Source organism: Homo sapiens, chromosome 11, assembly GCF_000001405.40.
Source record: "Homo sapiens chromosome 11, GRCh38.p14 Primary Assembly".
Taxonomy (NCBI): Eukaryota; Metazoa; Chordata; class Mammalia; order Primates; family Hominidae; genus Homo; species Homo sapiens.
The window spans coordinates 130,723,091-130,739,865 of record NC_000011.10 but is presented as its reverse complement, the minus strand read 5'-3'; the positions used below and the strand labels follow the sequence as shown (position 1 = coordinate 130,739,865).

Here is a 16,775-nt window from a genome sequence, read left to right as displayed (position 1 = left end):
ATTCTTTGTCCATTTTGCCTTAATAGTTTATATATTAGCTTGTTGTTTTCTGTTGCTTCTATTTTCTTCATGCTGTAGACTCTGTTTTAAATAATATTCTACATTGTCTATGTGGAAAGGCATAATGCGTCAGATGAGACCCTTGTTCTCCTCATGTCTTCAGCGTCATTGACAAAGTAGATAATAACACACAAAGCATGTAAAGAATTTCTGAATTTTATGGTACAAATTATGGTAGTGAATGACCATGTATTAAGCCCTTACCACTTGCCAGTCCTTGCATGTTTGTTGTTTTATTTAATATCTAGGCTGCAGAGAAACCTTATGGGATTTTGATGGTTTAATTTATGATCACAAGAAACTGCCATTTAAACATTCACCTTCTACAGAATTGTTGGGTTCGGTTTATTTTCTCTGTAATAAATGAGAATTTATTTTCATCATGCAAGAACCATCATGAAAAAGCTTCTCATAACTCTTGGGGTGCATGAGATCAACTTGCTTTAATGAATTATGAGATCAAGCAGAATCAGTTTTGAAAATAGCAAAGACATTTAGAGAAGTAGTAAGATGCAGAACAGGGACGGAATTTATGCCACACTCCACGCAAAACAAACTCGGCCACTACTCCTGTGGTCAGGAATCAATATTTCTCATCAGTTCCAAAGTAATGAATGTCTCTTCTCACCTCATGCTCATTGACCTTCATCTGTGGTGAGAACTTTCTTACTGTGAGACTCCAGTTTCCCTTTCTTTGGTTCTGTTTGGGCGACTGCTACCTGGTTTCAACAGTAACCTCCTAGAAAACAGATTGGGTGCTCACCCCAACGTTAATAAATATCATCAGAATAACGAAGGGGAGTAATTTGTCTACTGATGAACTGATTAGAGAAGACGTCACCACTGTCGTGGCTCTTTCCCCAAATTATAGCTAGGTTTAGGAATTATTTTTTCAAAGGGCTACTCTGAATTATGGGGCTGTAATTCCATCCTGAAGGCTATTTGTGGGTCATGCTTCACTTCTTGTGGTTTATGACTTCAACCCCAGCCCTCGATGGAATTATAACCCAACAGTCACAGAGACTGCTATTTATCATCTGTTTATTTTACAACAAAGCATCAAGTATATTTTGGTTTTATGCTCATGGAGAACACAAGAAGGAGAAGGAGGCAGAGGAAGAGGAGGAAGAGATAGAATAGTTTACCCAAAGCTAAAGCCATGTCTCCCCAGCTATAAAAACTGAATATCAGACAACGGTCCAGACATGTTACCTCCACGATGTTAGCAAACATCTGGAAGAATCTTCTATTTGTTACCATGGAAATAAAGTGCCCAAATGATTGTCCTGTGTCTTTTCTCAGCTGGATATTACCGCAGTAGAGCTTAGATTATGGAACTGAGGGGAAGCCATCGTTCTCTTCCTTTCCTTCTTTTGTCCACCCTGTGCCGATAACAAGCTCTCTGGCAGGAGTTGCGAACAGCTGTATCAGAGATCAGGCGGGGTCACTGCACGCTCAGGCAGGCCGCGTGGATTTGTCTGCTGGTCCCTGCAGTGTGCTGGGCGGGACACTCCTTGATCTCTCCATGCTGTCACCGGGTTCTGCAGTACAGTTGGCTCTGAGCCTTTGCAAACATTCTAATTTGATGCATAATTAATATAACAGTGATTCAAGGCCTAGAGGCTTCTGGGACTAATTAGTGACCCGAATCTCCATGGTAGCGCTGCATTCCATTCTTATCAGTGCCGGGAAGAGCTGCACTCTTAGAAATAATCAGTCTCCCACTTATTACTGTGACACAGCCAAGAGGCAAAGATCATCTTTCCATCCAGTGTGCAAAAATTCCATCAGTGTGTAATCACTTCCCAGGAGGACTGAACTTCCCCTGGAAGAGTCTCACTGAATTAGTCCCTCAAGAACATTTACGTTTCCATATGGGCCTGGGGGGATCTTATTGCAGGTGAAGAAATAAAGACAGTCAGCAAGGGCTTGCTGAGCATCCGCAGAATGAACAACATTGTTCCAGGGGCTCGGAGCTGATTCACAGGAAAATAAAAGACTCAGCTTTCTTTTCAAAGCCTTTGCCATGCAATAACGAAACATATAGTAAGAATGAATGACTTGTTACTCCCATTTCTAACATGGTCCCCCACTGTGTCTCTGCAGGCGCATGGCTCCAAGTGTCTCAGTCATCTCTGCAGAGAACCTATTCAAAGTCTAAGTGAGTTCACCCCAGGAAGGAAGTGGCATTGTAGTGGTGCTGCACCCATCTCCCTTCCCTTCTCACTTCCTGTTGCTCCTCAGCCCCCTCAACAGCCACCTTATTTCCAGCTCACTTGCTCAGGCCCCGCAGGATCTAGACAAGCAGCAGCAAACTATGGACTGTGGCCCCAGCCCAGCACAACAGTCCATTTAATTCAGGTATATATCATCCATGGCTACTTTCACACTACAATGGCAGAGTTGAACAAATGTGACAAAGACTGGATGACCCACAATTCTAAAGGATATACTACTTGGCCCTTTGCTGAAAGAGTTTGCAAACCCCCAGTTTAGACCATCAAACACCACCCAGCAGGTGGGGGATCTCAGCTTCAAGTCTTAGATTTTTATAATTCCTTTTGAAGGAGTGGCCACCCCATGAACAATTCCTTCAACAGAATGCATCACTTCCAGCCTCTGCTCATGATCACCCAGACTATGTGCCCATTCTTGACCTTCTCGGAGAGGCTCATTCATAGTTCTCAAGCTTTTATTTAATGAGCATCTGCATGGTACTTGCCACACGCAAGGCACTCCTTTAAACACTAAAATTAACTCATTTTGTTCTTTCAATCACCCCATGAGGTGAATATTATTATTATTAATATCTCCATTTCAGAGATGAGGAAACTAAGGCATGAACAGGTTAAGTTGCCCAGGGTTATATAACTAGTAAGTCACAGAGCCAGGATTTGAACCCAACAGTTTTGCTCTTCAGTCTACATTCTTATTTTTGTCAATACAAACTTGTCTACACAGTATCCTAGGGGAATGTAGGAGGGTCACCTGCCTAGCTATTAGCAACTGGAAAATTCTCATAGAGCATCTAATTTAAAATATATGTGAGTATTGCATCAACTGCATAATAAATATTGATTGTTTTATTGCAAAACAGTCCTAAATTACTTGTTGTGATGATGTACCATACTTATTCTACATCTTCTAGGACCCAAAGGCACACTACTAGACACCCCTGGGGTACAGGGGTGTACCCTCTTTGGTACTCTCCTATTTGGAGAGGCACAGTCCTAGTTTCTTTCTGCAATGGACTAATCTTTGCTACACCTGATTTTGCCCCTCTAACATTCATTTATCTGACCAAGCCTAATGGTCTGAAATTTTCTTTTGTTAGGAGAGGTTGCTCTGTAAATATATTTTAACCCACAGGGTACTCTTAAAAAGAAAATTGTATGCAGAACATATAAAACTGATACCACTTTTAAATTAATTTATTGTAAGCATGCCCACTTTAGACTTCAAAAAATCCTGAAAACCAAAAGATTATACCAATATCTGCCATATGAACTAATTCAGGCCTTTCCTGCATATTTTTAGTGATATTTTATGGAAAATACTTGCTCTATTTATGGAAAACACTTGCTTATTTTCCATATTTTTATGGAAAATACTTGCTCTATTTATACTAGCCAAGAGCTCTCTTATCCATCAGGTGACTGTAGTTAATAACAATGGGTTGTATGTTTCAAATTTTCAGAGAGTAGGTTGTAAGTATTCTCACCACATATAGACACAAAGGTACCTCCAGGAAGTGATGGATATCTTAATTAGCTTGACTGAGGTCATCATTTCACAATGTATCAAAGCATCACATTGTATACCTTGAATATATACAACTTTTATTTGTCATTTGTTTTTCAATAAAGCTGAAAAAGAGAAAAAAAAAAGTGGTCAGCCAAGGAAGCCTCTGAGTTTCTCCAGGACTGTGAAAAATCCTGTACCACCCACCCTCTGGAGCAGCCCAGGACAAGCCTGTTCCCGTCTTTCACATGTGCTGGGATAGTGATCCCATCATCTCCTCTTACGTCTCTTACCCAGGATAAATAAAGCTAGTTTCTATTATTATTCTTCCAAGGATGAGCTTCCACATTTTTTCACACATCTTGATTAAAAGGGGTACTCAGAACTGTTTATTTTGGTTTAATGCTCATGGAGAACACAAGAAGGAGAAGGAAGCAGAGGAAGTGGAAAATGGAGGCAGAGACTTTAGTGGAAAGCACCCCCTTCTCAGATCTGGGTGCTCCATGAGGGGGCTTTGTAGCGGATTGTATTTTTCTAAGATGAATGCAACAATAATTCTTATCCCATTTGCTCTTCTAGAATCTTGCCACGTTCCTATTAAGTGATGGAGTCTAACTCTTCTTCCTTTGAATTTGGATGGGCTTGTGCCTCACTTATAACCAACAGGAAGTGGTTACAAGGAAGCTCAGGAAGTGACGCTGCATGGCTTCAGAGGCTAAGCCCTAGAGGACAATGCAGCTTCTACCTTGAGTGATGGGACACTGTGCTGGAGTGCTGAGCCACCACGCAGGTGGTCTGACTGCCCTGAGCCACCATGCAGTGAGGAAGCACAACCAGCCCTGCAGAAAGACCCGATGAAGAGGCCCAGTGTCTATATATCCAGAGAGGAAGAGATGCCTGGCCAGTTCCTGCCACTCCAGCCACTTCTGCTCCTCTGCTCCAGTTTCAACTTCCATCTATTACCACCATGTGAGAGTCCTCAAGCCAAAATCACGTAGGCAAGTCCTGCTCAAATTCCTGACCCAGAAAAACTGTAACAGATAGTAAAATGATTGCCATTGTTTTCAGCCACTAAATTTTGGAACGATTTGTTATGTAGCACTAGATAATCATAACAAGGTCTTAACATAAATCCCAAATCTGAAGGGAACAAAATGGGAAGGAAGTCAACTCCTCAGTAACAACTGCTTACCTCTTCTGATTTGGAGAGTTGGCCTCCCATCCCAGCTGGTGACCTAGAAGGAGACTTGACAAGAAGTCATAGAAAAACACTTGAGACTGAAAACAAAATCAACTTGACGATTTATACTCAAAAAGATATGCTTTAGTATTGTTCAACTATTATCCCAACCATACATTTTTATTGGAGATGCATACTGCTGTGGATTAAAATGTGTTTCCCCCAAATTATACATTGAAGCCTTAACTCCCAATGTGACTATATATGGAGAAAGAGTCTTCAGGAGGTGATTCAGGCTAAATGAAGTCCTAAACGTGGAACACTAATCCAATAGGACTATGGCCTTATAAGATATGTCTATCTCTCCCCAACCCTCCCCACTCTGTCTCTTCAACTCTCTCTCCTTTTATTATGTCCTCATTTAACACCTCATTGACACAGCAAGAAGGTGGCCATCTGTAAGTGAGGAACAGAATCCTCACCAGAGCTCATCCATGCTGGCACCCTGATCTTGGACCTCTAGCCTCCAGAACTGTGAGAAATAAATTTCTATTGTTTAAACCACCCAGTTTGTGGTATTTTGTTATGGCAGCCCAAGCAAACATATCACCTATATATATATTAGATATATATATACACACATATATATACCTAAACAGTAAAAATAATTTGCATCTTAAATCAATTAATTGTAAGCATGCCCACTTTAGTCTTCAAAATATCCTGAAAACCAAAAGATTATACCAATATCTATCATATGAACTAATTCAGGCATTTTCTGCATATTTTTAGTAATATTTTATGGAAAATAATTGCTGTATTATTAAAACAATCATAGTATAACTAGCTGTGTCATAATTAAAATTTGATTGCAAATATAATCATAGAAGTTTAGCAGGGACCTTAAAGTTCACCCAGCTAAGTCTACTGATCAGGGCCTGTTTCAGAACATTCTCCAAAGTTGGAGTGGTAATATCCAGCCTGGATCTGCGTGCCCTACTCAAACTTGACATGTTCAATATATTACCATCACTCTGTGCTGGTAAGGCTGCAGTGAAATGGACGCTCAGAGACTTTTTAAAATAGGTTTGTAAATTTATACAGTCTTTTAGGAAGGGAATTTTATTATGTTGCTCAAGGGTATTAAAAAGGTTTACATCCCTCGATCTATGCTTAAGTAATAACCCAATATACAGAGAACGCTTTCTATGCCTTGTTATTTATTGTGGCAATACCTGTCGTATGAAGAAATTGGAAACACCATAAATGTGCAATAGCAGGGAAATGGTATTGTTCACAAATCATTATTCTACAAAGCATAACTCTGTTGATGTGTGAAAAAGAGATCAGAAGTAAATATATAAATATACACATTTGTTGAATGAGCTAAATAATAACACATTCTTGAATATTCTTTATCTCTGGGTATCATATTTTTATTTGGCAAATGAAAATGACCCAAACTCACCTTGGAAAATCTGGTCGCTAGAGAGTCATGTGGTCATGAAGTCATGAAATATGGAACCTTCTAGCAATAAACCATTTAATTATTACACAGCTCTAATGGTTAAACAAATCTGCATCATCCATTCTCACAGGTCTGGTGAGTGAGATATCAGTGGTAGAATTTAAGTAGCGAAGCACAAAAGCTTCATCAGCTGTGACATATGGGCAAGGTATCATAATCTTAGCAGCTCTCAAATAATAAAAGACAGGCCTATGTCCCAATTACTGTCGTGGTTAATATCTCAAATATATGAAATTGTTTTTGAAAATGTTTTCTAGTTTGGCCCATCAGGTGAGAGATTCTATTTGCTTTTCTCCAAACCTGCCTTCTTCATCTGGAACATGGTTTAGTGGTTGAGAACTGAAACACTGTCCAATATTTCTCACCACTTGAGCCTAAAATATCCTTCCCCATAACTGAAGGCAAATGATTGCTTTCTCCTTTGTCTTGGTGAATATTTTCCTGGATTTTGTTTTCCACCATTGCCTGATATTTTTCCTTGACTTATGGCAGGTGGAAGCCAAATGCATATATTGCCAAGTGAGGTGTCGTCCGAATCAGCCAGGGCAGGAGGTTGGAAAGGCTTGTTCTTTGGGATGACAACTATGTCATGGGATTATTATCAGAATGATTCACATGTACTTTGTGTGGGAGCTGGAGCTTCAGAGAATCAGAAGGGATGGATGTGAGGTTGCTTGTACGTCCCCTTGTTTCCTGGGGACTGAGGGTTTGGTCTGTGTTTAATGTCTGTGATGTTTTCTTGGCATGACTCAACATGGGTGTACACTTTGGGTACTGAAGCTTTCAGCCTATTATGGTGCATCTACTTTCAAAGTTTTGTATTAGCAAATTTCTGATCATTCATCCTGGTGAGTGCAAAATTGAACAATTATAAAGACATGCATTTAGGGTGGAATGATCATTTGGTCAAGTATAATGAAGGAGGCCTTGTTTAGTAACAGTCCATGTCCCAAAAAGCTGAAAATTTTAGTTGGCCAAGCTTTAAAGGAAATTTCTGGAGTAATGGTATTCTATATCTTGATAGGGACTGGATTACACAGGTGTATGGATTTGTCAAAACTCAGTGAATGCACAATTAAGACTAAGATTTCATTTTACATCAAAACAAATAGTAAAAAATTAATTAGTAAAAGCAAGTTAGTGAAAAACAAATAGTGAACCAACTCTAGTTAATGTTGAAGAAGAAAGAATTATTCTTATATCTGTAATTTACATTGAAATACATTTTAAACATAAGATGGATTGACAGTGGATAGAGGGCAAGATACACACATGACTCAACAAGCACCCTAAGATGTTGGTGACAGATTCTAAGTGATGGCTCCAGGCAGTGGTGGGCCTGAGCTGGCTCACATACGCTCCCCAGAGCTGATATTGCACAAATCTCCCCCACGTCACATTGGTAACTTGAAATTAGCAAAGACAAAAACATTCACACCACAGAAATCAGCAAACAATACAAATCAGATTTTTTGTTTTCCCTCCAGAGAGCCAGTTTACAGACACACTGCTGTGTATGTGAGTTGTTGATTGTAAACTTCTTTCAACTTTGCTGTATGCTTGCAAACTTTCATAATAAAATATTGGCAAAAAATATGACTCGGTGTGCTCTCACTGATGAAAAAATAAATTAACCGTCAGTTTTCCAACTTGCGCCTTTGAGTAAGATTTAGCAAGGCATTCCTCTGACTGCAACAGCTAGGGGGAAAAATGATGTATCACAAAAATCATGTTTTTATAAACAGTATGGAGAATCATAGAGGCAAAAGAGACTAAAAGAATGAACATTCCAGAGGGGAATAGCTCCCGCAGAGTGAAATGAGTGTGCTGGCAGTTTTCTTTCCAAGGGGCATTTGCTGAGGCCATCTAAAGAGTGGGCTTACTGCGAGCAGAAGAAAAGAGAGAGGAGACCCAGGGCCCTGCAGGCTGGCAAAGAATGGAACATCCAGAAGTCCCTAAAGCATGGCTGACCTTCCCCGCTGGGCAGTTATTGCATCTGGGGTGGCACAGAACACTGAGGGGATGAGCCAGCCAGGAATTGTGAAATCTCCCATAGCCTCAGAGTGCCTAGGAGTCAAAGTCACAGTAGAAGAAGAGGCTGACAACCACACCCAGCGGGGCCCCAATCAGAACACCTGGCAGATTTTGAATCCACATGATGTGGAGGTTAAAGAGCTCAGCTTTCGGGGAAGAGGTGACAGAGACACAATAGGAGCTCAATCCAAAGCCTAGGAGAACTTGACTCAGCTTTGTTGAAGGTTTGGGATAGAGGCTGGTTTATACAGGAAGGGGGCTGGGCTGGGAGAGATGAGTCAAATCCCCCTCAGTATCATGTTCCTTAAGAGTCAAAGTCCCTTGAGAGCAGGGGTGTCCAATCTTTTGGTTTTTCTGGGCCACTACAGAAGAAGAAGAATTGTCTTGGGCCACACATAAAATACACTAACAGTAGCTGATGAGCTAAAAAAAGAAATTTGCAAAAAAACTCATAGTGTTTTAAGAAAGTTTATGAATTTGTGTTGAGCTGCATTCAAAGCCGTCCTGGGCTTCATGCAGCCTGTGGGCCACAGGTTGGACAAGCCTGCACTAGAGAAAGGGGTCCATGCTACCTGTGCCCCATGTGTCCCCCAGGAGATGGTCAAAACCAGAGTGAGTTACACCCAGCTGCAGTCCCAGCCGTGATCTAGTTCACTTCCTCACAGCATCCAGTGATACCCCCTGTACTGTCTGCCTAGCTAAGGAAAAGGCAAACTTTTTCTCGGGGAGAAGAACATCAACTTCAGTAGCTGCGGGTCTTTTATGCATAACAACAACAACATCTGACAAACAACCCTAAGTAATGAGATGCAAGAAGTAGGAAAATGTGACCCACAATAAATGGGAAGACATACAATAAAGCAGATGCACAAAGTATCCAATGGTTAGAGTTAGCAGAGAAGGATTTGAAGGAAATTATTTAAAATATTTTTTTAAAAAAATAAGGGAAAGTTTGAAAAAAACGGATGGAAAGATAAGTAATTTTGACAGAGGATTGGAATTTATAAAAAAAAAGAAGCAAATGGACATTCTAGAACTGCAATATCTGAAAGTAAGAACTCCCTAGATGAGTTTAACAGTGGATAGAACATAGCAGCAGTCAAATCCCTGAACTTCAAGACATGCCAATAGAAAAAAATATGTATATTGAACGGCATATGGAAGAAAGAAATGAGCAGATTATAAGAGATGCTCAAAACACAGAGAGAAGGTCTAACAAACATGCAATTGGCATCCCAGAAGGCAAAGAATAGAGAATGAGAAAGAAAAAGGAGTCAAAGTTCTGCAGAGAAAGATGTATTACACTCGGATTCGGAGGTCCAACGCTGGTCATTTCCCTTACTCATTGATTAGCATTGGGCAAATCCCTTATCTCCTCTGATCTTCCTTTTTCTCATCTGTAAACTTGAATTAGTAATATTTATTTCTCAGAACTTTTAATGACATCATCTATAGATAACAAAGCTACAAGGTGAATTTTTAAAAAATTATGTTCATTATTTTCATCATTATTATGTTTTCACTCAGTTACTCTAGTGAAACAGCATGCCATCATTATCCCTAGTACACTTCAGGATAAAATTACCTATGAGCCAAAATGAAAATTAAATTTTACCTAGGTTGTGTCTCCTCTTCATTCTAAATTTAGTTTTTATTTTTATTGCATGTGTCTTCATATTTTTCCCATTTCTGTAACAGGCAAGTTCTATTCCAGAAATCACTGAATACTCAAGTTAGGGGGATGGCAAAGGATTTCCTTCTGGAGGCCATTTCTTGGGACTTGAAATTCCTGGGCAGAGGGCACAAGAGACAGAGTGGAAAATATGCCCCCAGCTTGAGTTAGGGAGGGCTGAATTCATTCATATTTCTTAATCATTTAGTTTCCAGTCACATTAGAACTGAGTGAAAGCCCAGAATTGTATCAGGAAGGGTGTACCCATCAGACTGATGAAAATTGCATGCAATTGTGAGCATATGTGTATGTTTATATGCATAGAAAAAAAAATTCCTAATGGAACTCATGCCTGGGAAATAAGATTTTAGATGGAAGATTTGTAACTACAGAAACCCACATGTCCAGTTTGCTGATTTTTATCTATCTGGTAGAATTCTAAACCACAGTCTCCAAATCAGTTTATACTCTTGTTGTTGTTGTTTCTACAAAGAAATAAATAATAAAAGATAGAGATTGAGCAGGTGGGAATAAAACAATAGGAAAAAGAAAAGGATGGAGAAGAAAATGAAAGCAGCGATGTCTGCTGGGGTTGCCAAAACAAAATCACAGGCCACGTAGCTAAAACAACAGAAATTTCTTCTGTCACAATTCTGGAGTCTGGAAGTCTGCCAGCAGGGTTGGTTTCTTGGGGGCCTCTTTCTCTGGCTTGCAGACAGCTGCCCTCTGCCTGGGCTTGTCCACTGGCATTACTGATGTCTCTTTTTCTAATAAGGATGGCAGTCATATTGCATTAGGACCACACCCATGGGCCCCAATTGAACCTTCATTACCTCTTTAAGGTTCTAATTTAACCTTCATTACCTCTTTAAGGGTCACATTGGGAGTTAGGGCTTCAACATACACATTTTGAGGGGACACAGTTCAGACCATAACAAGCAGAGTGAAATAAGGGTGAAGTGTGAGTGAATGGCCTCATAGCTGAAACGCTTGGCTGCATCCACACCAGCACCACATTGACCAACCCAGCAGGTGAGAAAGCTGCAGACCTTTGCTGCTTCTCTTTATTGAGGGTTTAGAATTTAGGTTAGTGAGAGTCCGTTGGTTTTGTCAGCTGAGGTGCATGGGTTTGGGGTCCTGAGTCTCTTCTCTTCTCACTTTTCTGATGCTCCACTCTCTGTTTTTTCCAAATCCTACCTTCTGAGTAATTGAGAATTCTAGACATTCTAGGTATGCCTCCAAAATCAAGCTACCAAACTCTGGGTGAGCCATGTGTAGGACGGTGAGCCACAGGACACCTGCTGTAGGCATCGAATTCCTGAATGGTGGGACACTGTGTGTCTCTGGCCCTATTCCCTCTCCAGGACAAACCTCACCCTTTCCTGCAAATGTACTCAAAATAGTACATTTATCCACGTCAATTCAGCAAAGGCTGCAGATCCTGGGACTACAGTATCTCAGACGCTGTTCTCAGCGAGCTCATGGTCCAGTGGAGAGCACAGACAAACAGCAAGGCAGGAGAAATCGCCTCTGAAGAGCCCAGGGAGCAGCGCGGGTGAAAAGCAGGGTGAGAGCAGGGCCTTCGGATTGGGAGAATCAGGACTCGCTTCAAGTAAAGCACTTTCAGCTATGAGGCCATTCACTAACCCTTGGGGAGGACGTGGAACAATGAACAGGAATTTGGGGAAAGGGTGGAGTGTAGGATGGACGGGACTGAGTGTGAAAGAGGCAAGGGTGAGCTATTCCACTCGGATGGAAAGTGTGAGTGAAGTCACAGAAGCAGGGCTGGCTGCAGCAGAGAAATGTCTTCTGAATCAGCTAGTGAGCTGCTCATGACCATCAGCCTGCTGCTTTATCAACATGTTTTTGAACAAAACTGCAAATCTGAAATTGACACTTCACCCCCTTCACCAAGTTTGGCTCTGAGTTACCTTCAGATTCCTATGGAATTCCAAGCTACCCTCGAAGGACTAAGGCTTGCCTTGATTGAGGATATATATAAAAATATTATTTATGTGCCTGGGGCTCAGAAAGCAATTTCCAAAGAGAATTTCTAAAGCTGTTCTGAGCATTATATAGCCTCTTGAGATTATGGATTTTTTTCCAAACATATAACAGAACTCTACACATCCTAATGAAAGTTCACAGCAGTAACATCACTCTTTTGTCTGCCTCTTACATCCTAGCACTTCTGGAGTCTGCAGGGCACATGAAGGAGTATAAGACCTGAGTTTTGCTCTCATTAAGCTCACAGTCTCTGCAAAATCAATCCTGCCAGAGGGAGAGCTTGGCAGTCCCTCCATCCCGTTATTAAAGTCTTTCCACAGCTGGTTCCCAATCTTACCTGGAGGGGTGGGTATAACATAGTAGTAAGGCACATGGGAGCCAAATAGACCAGGGTCTGAGTCCCATCTCTGTTTCTTGCAGGCTGTGTGATCTTGGGCCAATTGCTTGACCTCTCTGAGGCTCAGTGTTCTTTTCTGTGATGATAATAGATATAATAACTACTTCATAAGGTCCTGTGAAGATTAAATGAGCTGTACACATGAAACATGCAGCACTTTACCTGGAACAAAGGTCGGGCTTTCGTGACTATCCCGGGAGAACCAATTAAGGCCAATGCAAAATGCACAGAAGGGAGGTAGACACTGTCCACCCAGGTTAGGCCCCACCTGCTCCCTGCCACCAACCAAAAGAAGAGTGGGACCCCTGCACTTGCCAAACTGCTCTCTCCTCTGCTCTGCACAGGACTCCTGCAGCAGCAGGATGTCTCCCAGGTCCCCAGCGGCCTGCTACGTCACCGACACTGCTTGTCCATGCCATTGTACGAGGCAGTTGTGCAGCTGCAGGCTGCCCCAGGCCAGCCAATGGTTAGTGTAGAACTCGGCTCTTGCTACTTTCCTGACAAGCACGGATTTTTACTGCTTTACCTCAATCTGGCCGTCTCCTCAGACCTTTGCACACACCAGGAGTGTCAAGATCTAAGGTCAGCTCCTGGGGCTTCAAGAGTCACCTCTGTTTTCCTTCCACTTCCCCAGCAACTCTACAAGGGCTGAATGCATCCTGTTTCAGGAAACCCTGGAGGAGGGAGACCCCGAGTGCCTATGGATACATTAAAAGGGAAGAAAGAAAGTGCAGAGCTGGTTGGGTCACTGCCGCCCGGCCAGGGGCGGAAAGGAGCCACGTGGTGCTGTACAAGTGTTTCCATTCAGGATGAGTCACAAACCCTGGACCCTGAAACAACTTGGCAAATGGAAAGCCAAAGGGATTGTTCTTGATGTCTGTGTGGGTCCCCACTGCCAAGTTTCAAATACCATCTCCCTCCACACTCCCCTTTTACGCTCAGGGAAGGACAGGCGCATGTACTGACCTGATCCCACTTGCCCAGGAAGCTGGCTGCAGGGCAGGATGGGGGCCTCTCTGGGGCATCTGTAAAGGGTGAGCTTCTTTATAGAGCTGGGTCAGGCTGGCTGCAGCCCATGCACCAGTCCTCTGAGGTGTCCTGAGCCTGGAGAAGGGGTGCCTGGGTGAGTGTAGGAAACTGCAGTTTCAGAGGAAGAGGTGACTCACCAACAGTATGCAATGCTGCATTCAGTAGGCATGGCACCTGCCCTTCCGAAGCTTATGCTGAAGTGACTAGAAAATTACAGTCTTCCCATATGTATGTCATACTCTCGCCAGGGTTTTCATGTAAGAAGACCTCTGTCCTCAAACCCTTTCTGCTGTTTCCCCTAAACATGTCCTGCTCTCACCTGACCTCTGCACGTCCTCTCCTACCCTCAGGCTTCAGACCTTGCCAGCTCTGCCTGCAGGTGCAAGAGCCTCCTAAATGCTGTTCCTGCTCCTGTCCTTACCTCACCCTATCTATTCTCTTCAAAACAGCCAGAAGGAACTTTTAGAAATGTCAGTCAGATCAGGTCCCCTCATAGTTTAAAACCCCTTCCACAACCTGCAAGGCCCTCCATGGTCAGGGCCTTCCCCACCCTCACTGCTGCATTTTGCCTTTCTGGAACAGAACCAAGTTTGCTCAGGGCCTTTGCAGTTGCTGTCCCCGGCGCCTTATCTCTCAACAGCTCCCTTTGTCACTCAAATCTCACTTCAGTTGTGACCCTTTCAGAAAAGGCTTCCTTACCACCCCCACCCCAACTCCCAAAGCACCAACATTTTCTCTACAGGCAGAAACTATACAATTAAAAACACATAAACAGAATTTAATAAGTTTAGAATAAGATAGTAAGCTCTGCAAGAGTGGCTCCCATCTCTCCTGTTAATCGCACAGAATCGGCACTCAGTATTTACAGAATAAATCCTACCCCATGCAAGTTAGGGTGCCTGCATTTCTTGGTGGAAGAGCCTGGAAGTTTCCTGCCCAGGCAGGGTGGGGCTGGGCGAGCTGGGCCATAGGCAGGAGAAGCCCAGTGAGGACGTGGAGCTGCAGAGTCCCTGCCTGGAGTGCAGCCCCCACCTTGAAGGGATTCTCAGGGAACTAGAGGCCATTGCTGCCCAGTCATTGGCTGAATCTGGTAGTTGCTTGTTCTCCCAAGTTCCTCTCTCCACGAAGCTCCTTGAATGTACATTCAGGAATTTATCATCATGGCACTTTTTTTGTCTGTTTCTAACCTATAATTCCATATATATATATATATATACACACACACACACAAGGGCTCTGGAATAGATCTCTAAATTCCCTTCAGAGCCAGCATTTGATGGTTTACGTGAAAATGTGTTCCACCTGGAATCAGGGTGCATTTGGGTCAAGCCTTTAAGAAAACAATTCAGGCTTAGCTGGGACATCCAGAAGAGATTATAGACGCTCCTGCACAGCGGGCATCCCAGCTAATGGGGCTCTCACGCACCTGACCCGAGCGCAGTGTGAAACAGCACCAGATGATGATGAGGCCCATATCCTGACCCCTCCAGGGCTCAGTATTTAGCTTCCCTGTGCTTAGTTTTCTCTTCCTGGAATGTCTCCACTCTAAGCAGAGACACCATTAAAAAGGGTTTTAAATTGAGCAATGAGAAACATTCTCTGCATGAGATTTTAAAGTCCACACGTGAGACTGGCGGTTCTTCAGCTCAGAGGCACCTGGGGTGCTTGTTAAAAGTGCAATCTCCGGCTCAGTTCCAGAGTGCTGACTCGGTGCACTGGTGGCACCTAAGAATCTCTATTCATGAAGCTTCCAGTGATTCTGGCGCAGAGTTTGTGGTGGAAAACTACCCACACTCAGTGTGACAGAACCTGTGCCCTGCAGAGACATGGGTTAGACAGGCTCTAGGGCTCTTGCCTTGCCCGTCTCTTGAGGCTGTGGGAAACACAGGAGGTTCTGAGCAGGCTCTTCGTGTGTGCCTCTAGCAACTGAGTTCCAGAACCCTCAGTCACCTGAAGGGCCTGTCTACATGATGCCAGGTAGCTGGACAGTTAGAGAAGGCAAGGCCATTCATTTCCAGAGCTACAGGATTAGTAAACCCAACTTCTAGTACACGAAAATTCTTCATCTTTAGGTGAGGGAACACACGAGAGGATTACCTTCAGGCTATCAAACCTCCAGAAAACGACCTATGACTTCTGGCTGTCCCTTCCTCTCCTATTGAGCCAGCTGAAGGAATTTAAAGAATAGCAAGCTTGACTCTGCCCAAAGGGGTATTTTCCTCATCTCTTCAGAGAATTTGGTTGCTCTACTCCCACTATTTAGAGGTTATGGCAGGAATTTCAAAGCTCTTTTAACAAGTCTGTTATCCACCTTCATACACAAACCTACAAAACCAAATTCATGGTGCATCTGTCCCCAAGGTTAGAGAATTCGACATGTAGGTAAAGAGTCATTAGAGCACATTTCCCAAGAGCAGACCCACTGTTTCTCACTATCCACACAACCAAGAGCCTGCAAGAATACTGAAACCCTCCACCGGGGACGGGGACAGTCCAGAACCCATGCAGCATTATTCATTATGCACCAGAGAAACTGACCCACCCGCAGGAACAGCCGCATGAGCTCTTTCAGGCCTGACCCCTGAGAATTCTCTCCACAAGCAGACCCAGTACCTCCCCAGGGCTCACCCACCTTAAGGGATCCATCTGGGACAGATGGGGAGAAGTCAGCCCTCACAGAACTTCTACCAATCTGTGGGTCCACAAAGCCCTAGAGGAAGAAAATCCAAGGCTCAGGACTTCTTTTGTCTTCATGGTGAGCCTTCTCCTCCTCTCTGCTCTTACAGTTCCACCTCCAGCCTATAAAAAATAAAAAGCTGGGAGAATGAGAGCGAGCAAGGAGCATTCTTCCCATCGTGGCCCTTCCCACACAGGCACCAGGAGTACCTTTGGGCCACAGCCAGTAGAATATGTCTAGCATCGCCATTGATGCAAGGAGCAAACTTCTTGGGCGCTAGGCCCAGGCAGCTCTGAAGACTCCGAAGAGTAAGAGTCCAGTGAAAGGGTAATGATGTTCATAAATCATCCAGATGTCAGCACCAGGACAGGAGGTGCACCCACCCAAACTGCAAGGCCAAGGTCATGAGCATCCTACCCTTCAGGGAGAGAACAAAGAAGACACGCTGCT

The 16,775-nt window shown here is 43.1% G+C and overlaps 1 long non-coding RNA gene across 2 annotated transcripts; it reads right to left on the bottom strand.

The window, feature by feature from the left end:
* Nucleotides 1-484: 484 nt before the first annotated feature.
* LOC105369575 (uncharacterized) lies at nt 485-16,447 on the bottom strand. Of its 2 annotated transcripts, XR_001748457.2 has the most exons (5): nt 16,281-16,447; nt 13,586-13,723; nt 12,560-13,317; nt 4,994-5,047; nt 485-4,832 (listed from the first exon to the last, which is right to left on the bottom strand). It is a non-coding gene; the product is annotated as an uncharacterized LOC105369575 (long non-coding RNA). The 2 variants fall into 2 exon arrangements; XR_007062954.1 differs by having other exon boundaries at nt 485-10,332.
* Between the last annotated feature and the right edge of the window lie 328 nt (nt 16,448-16,775).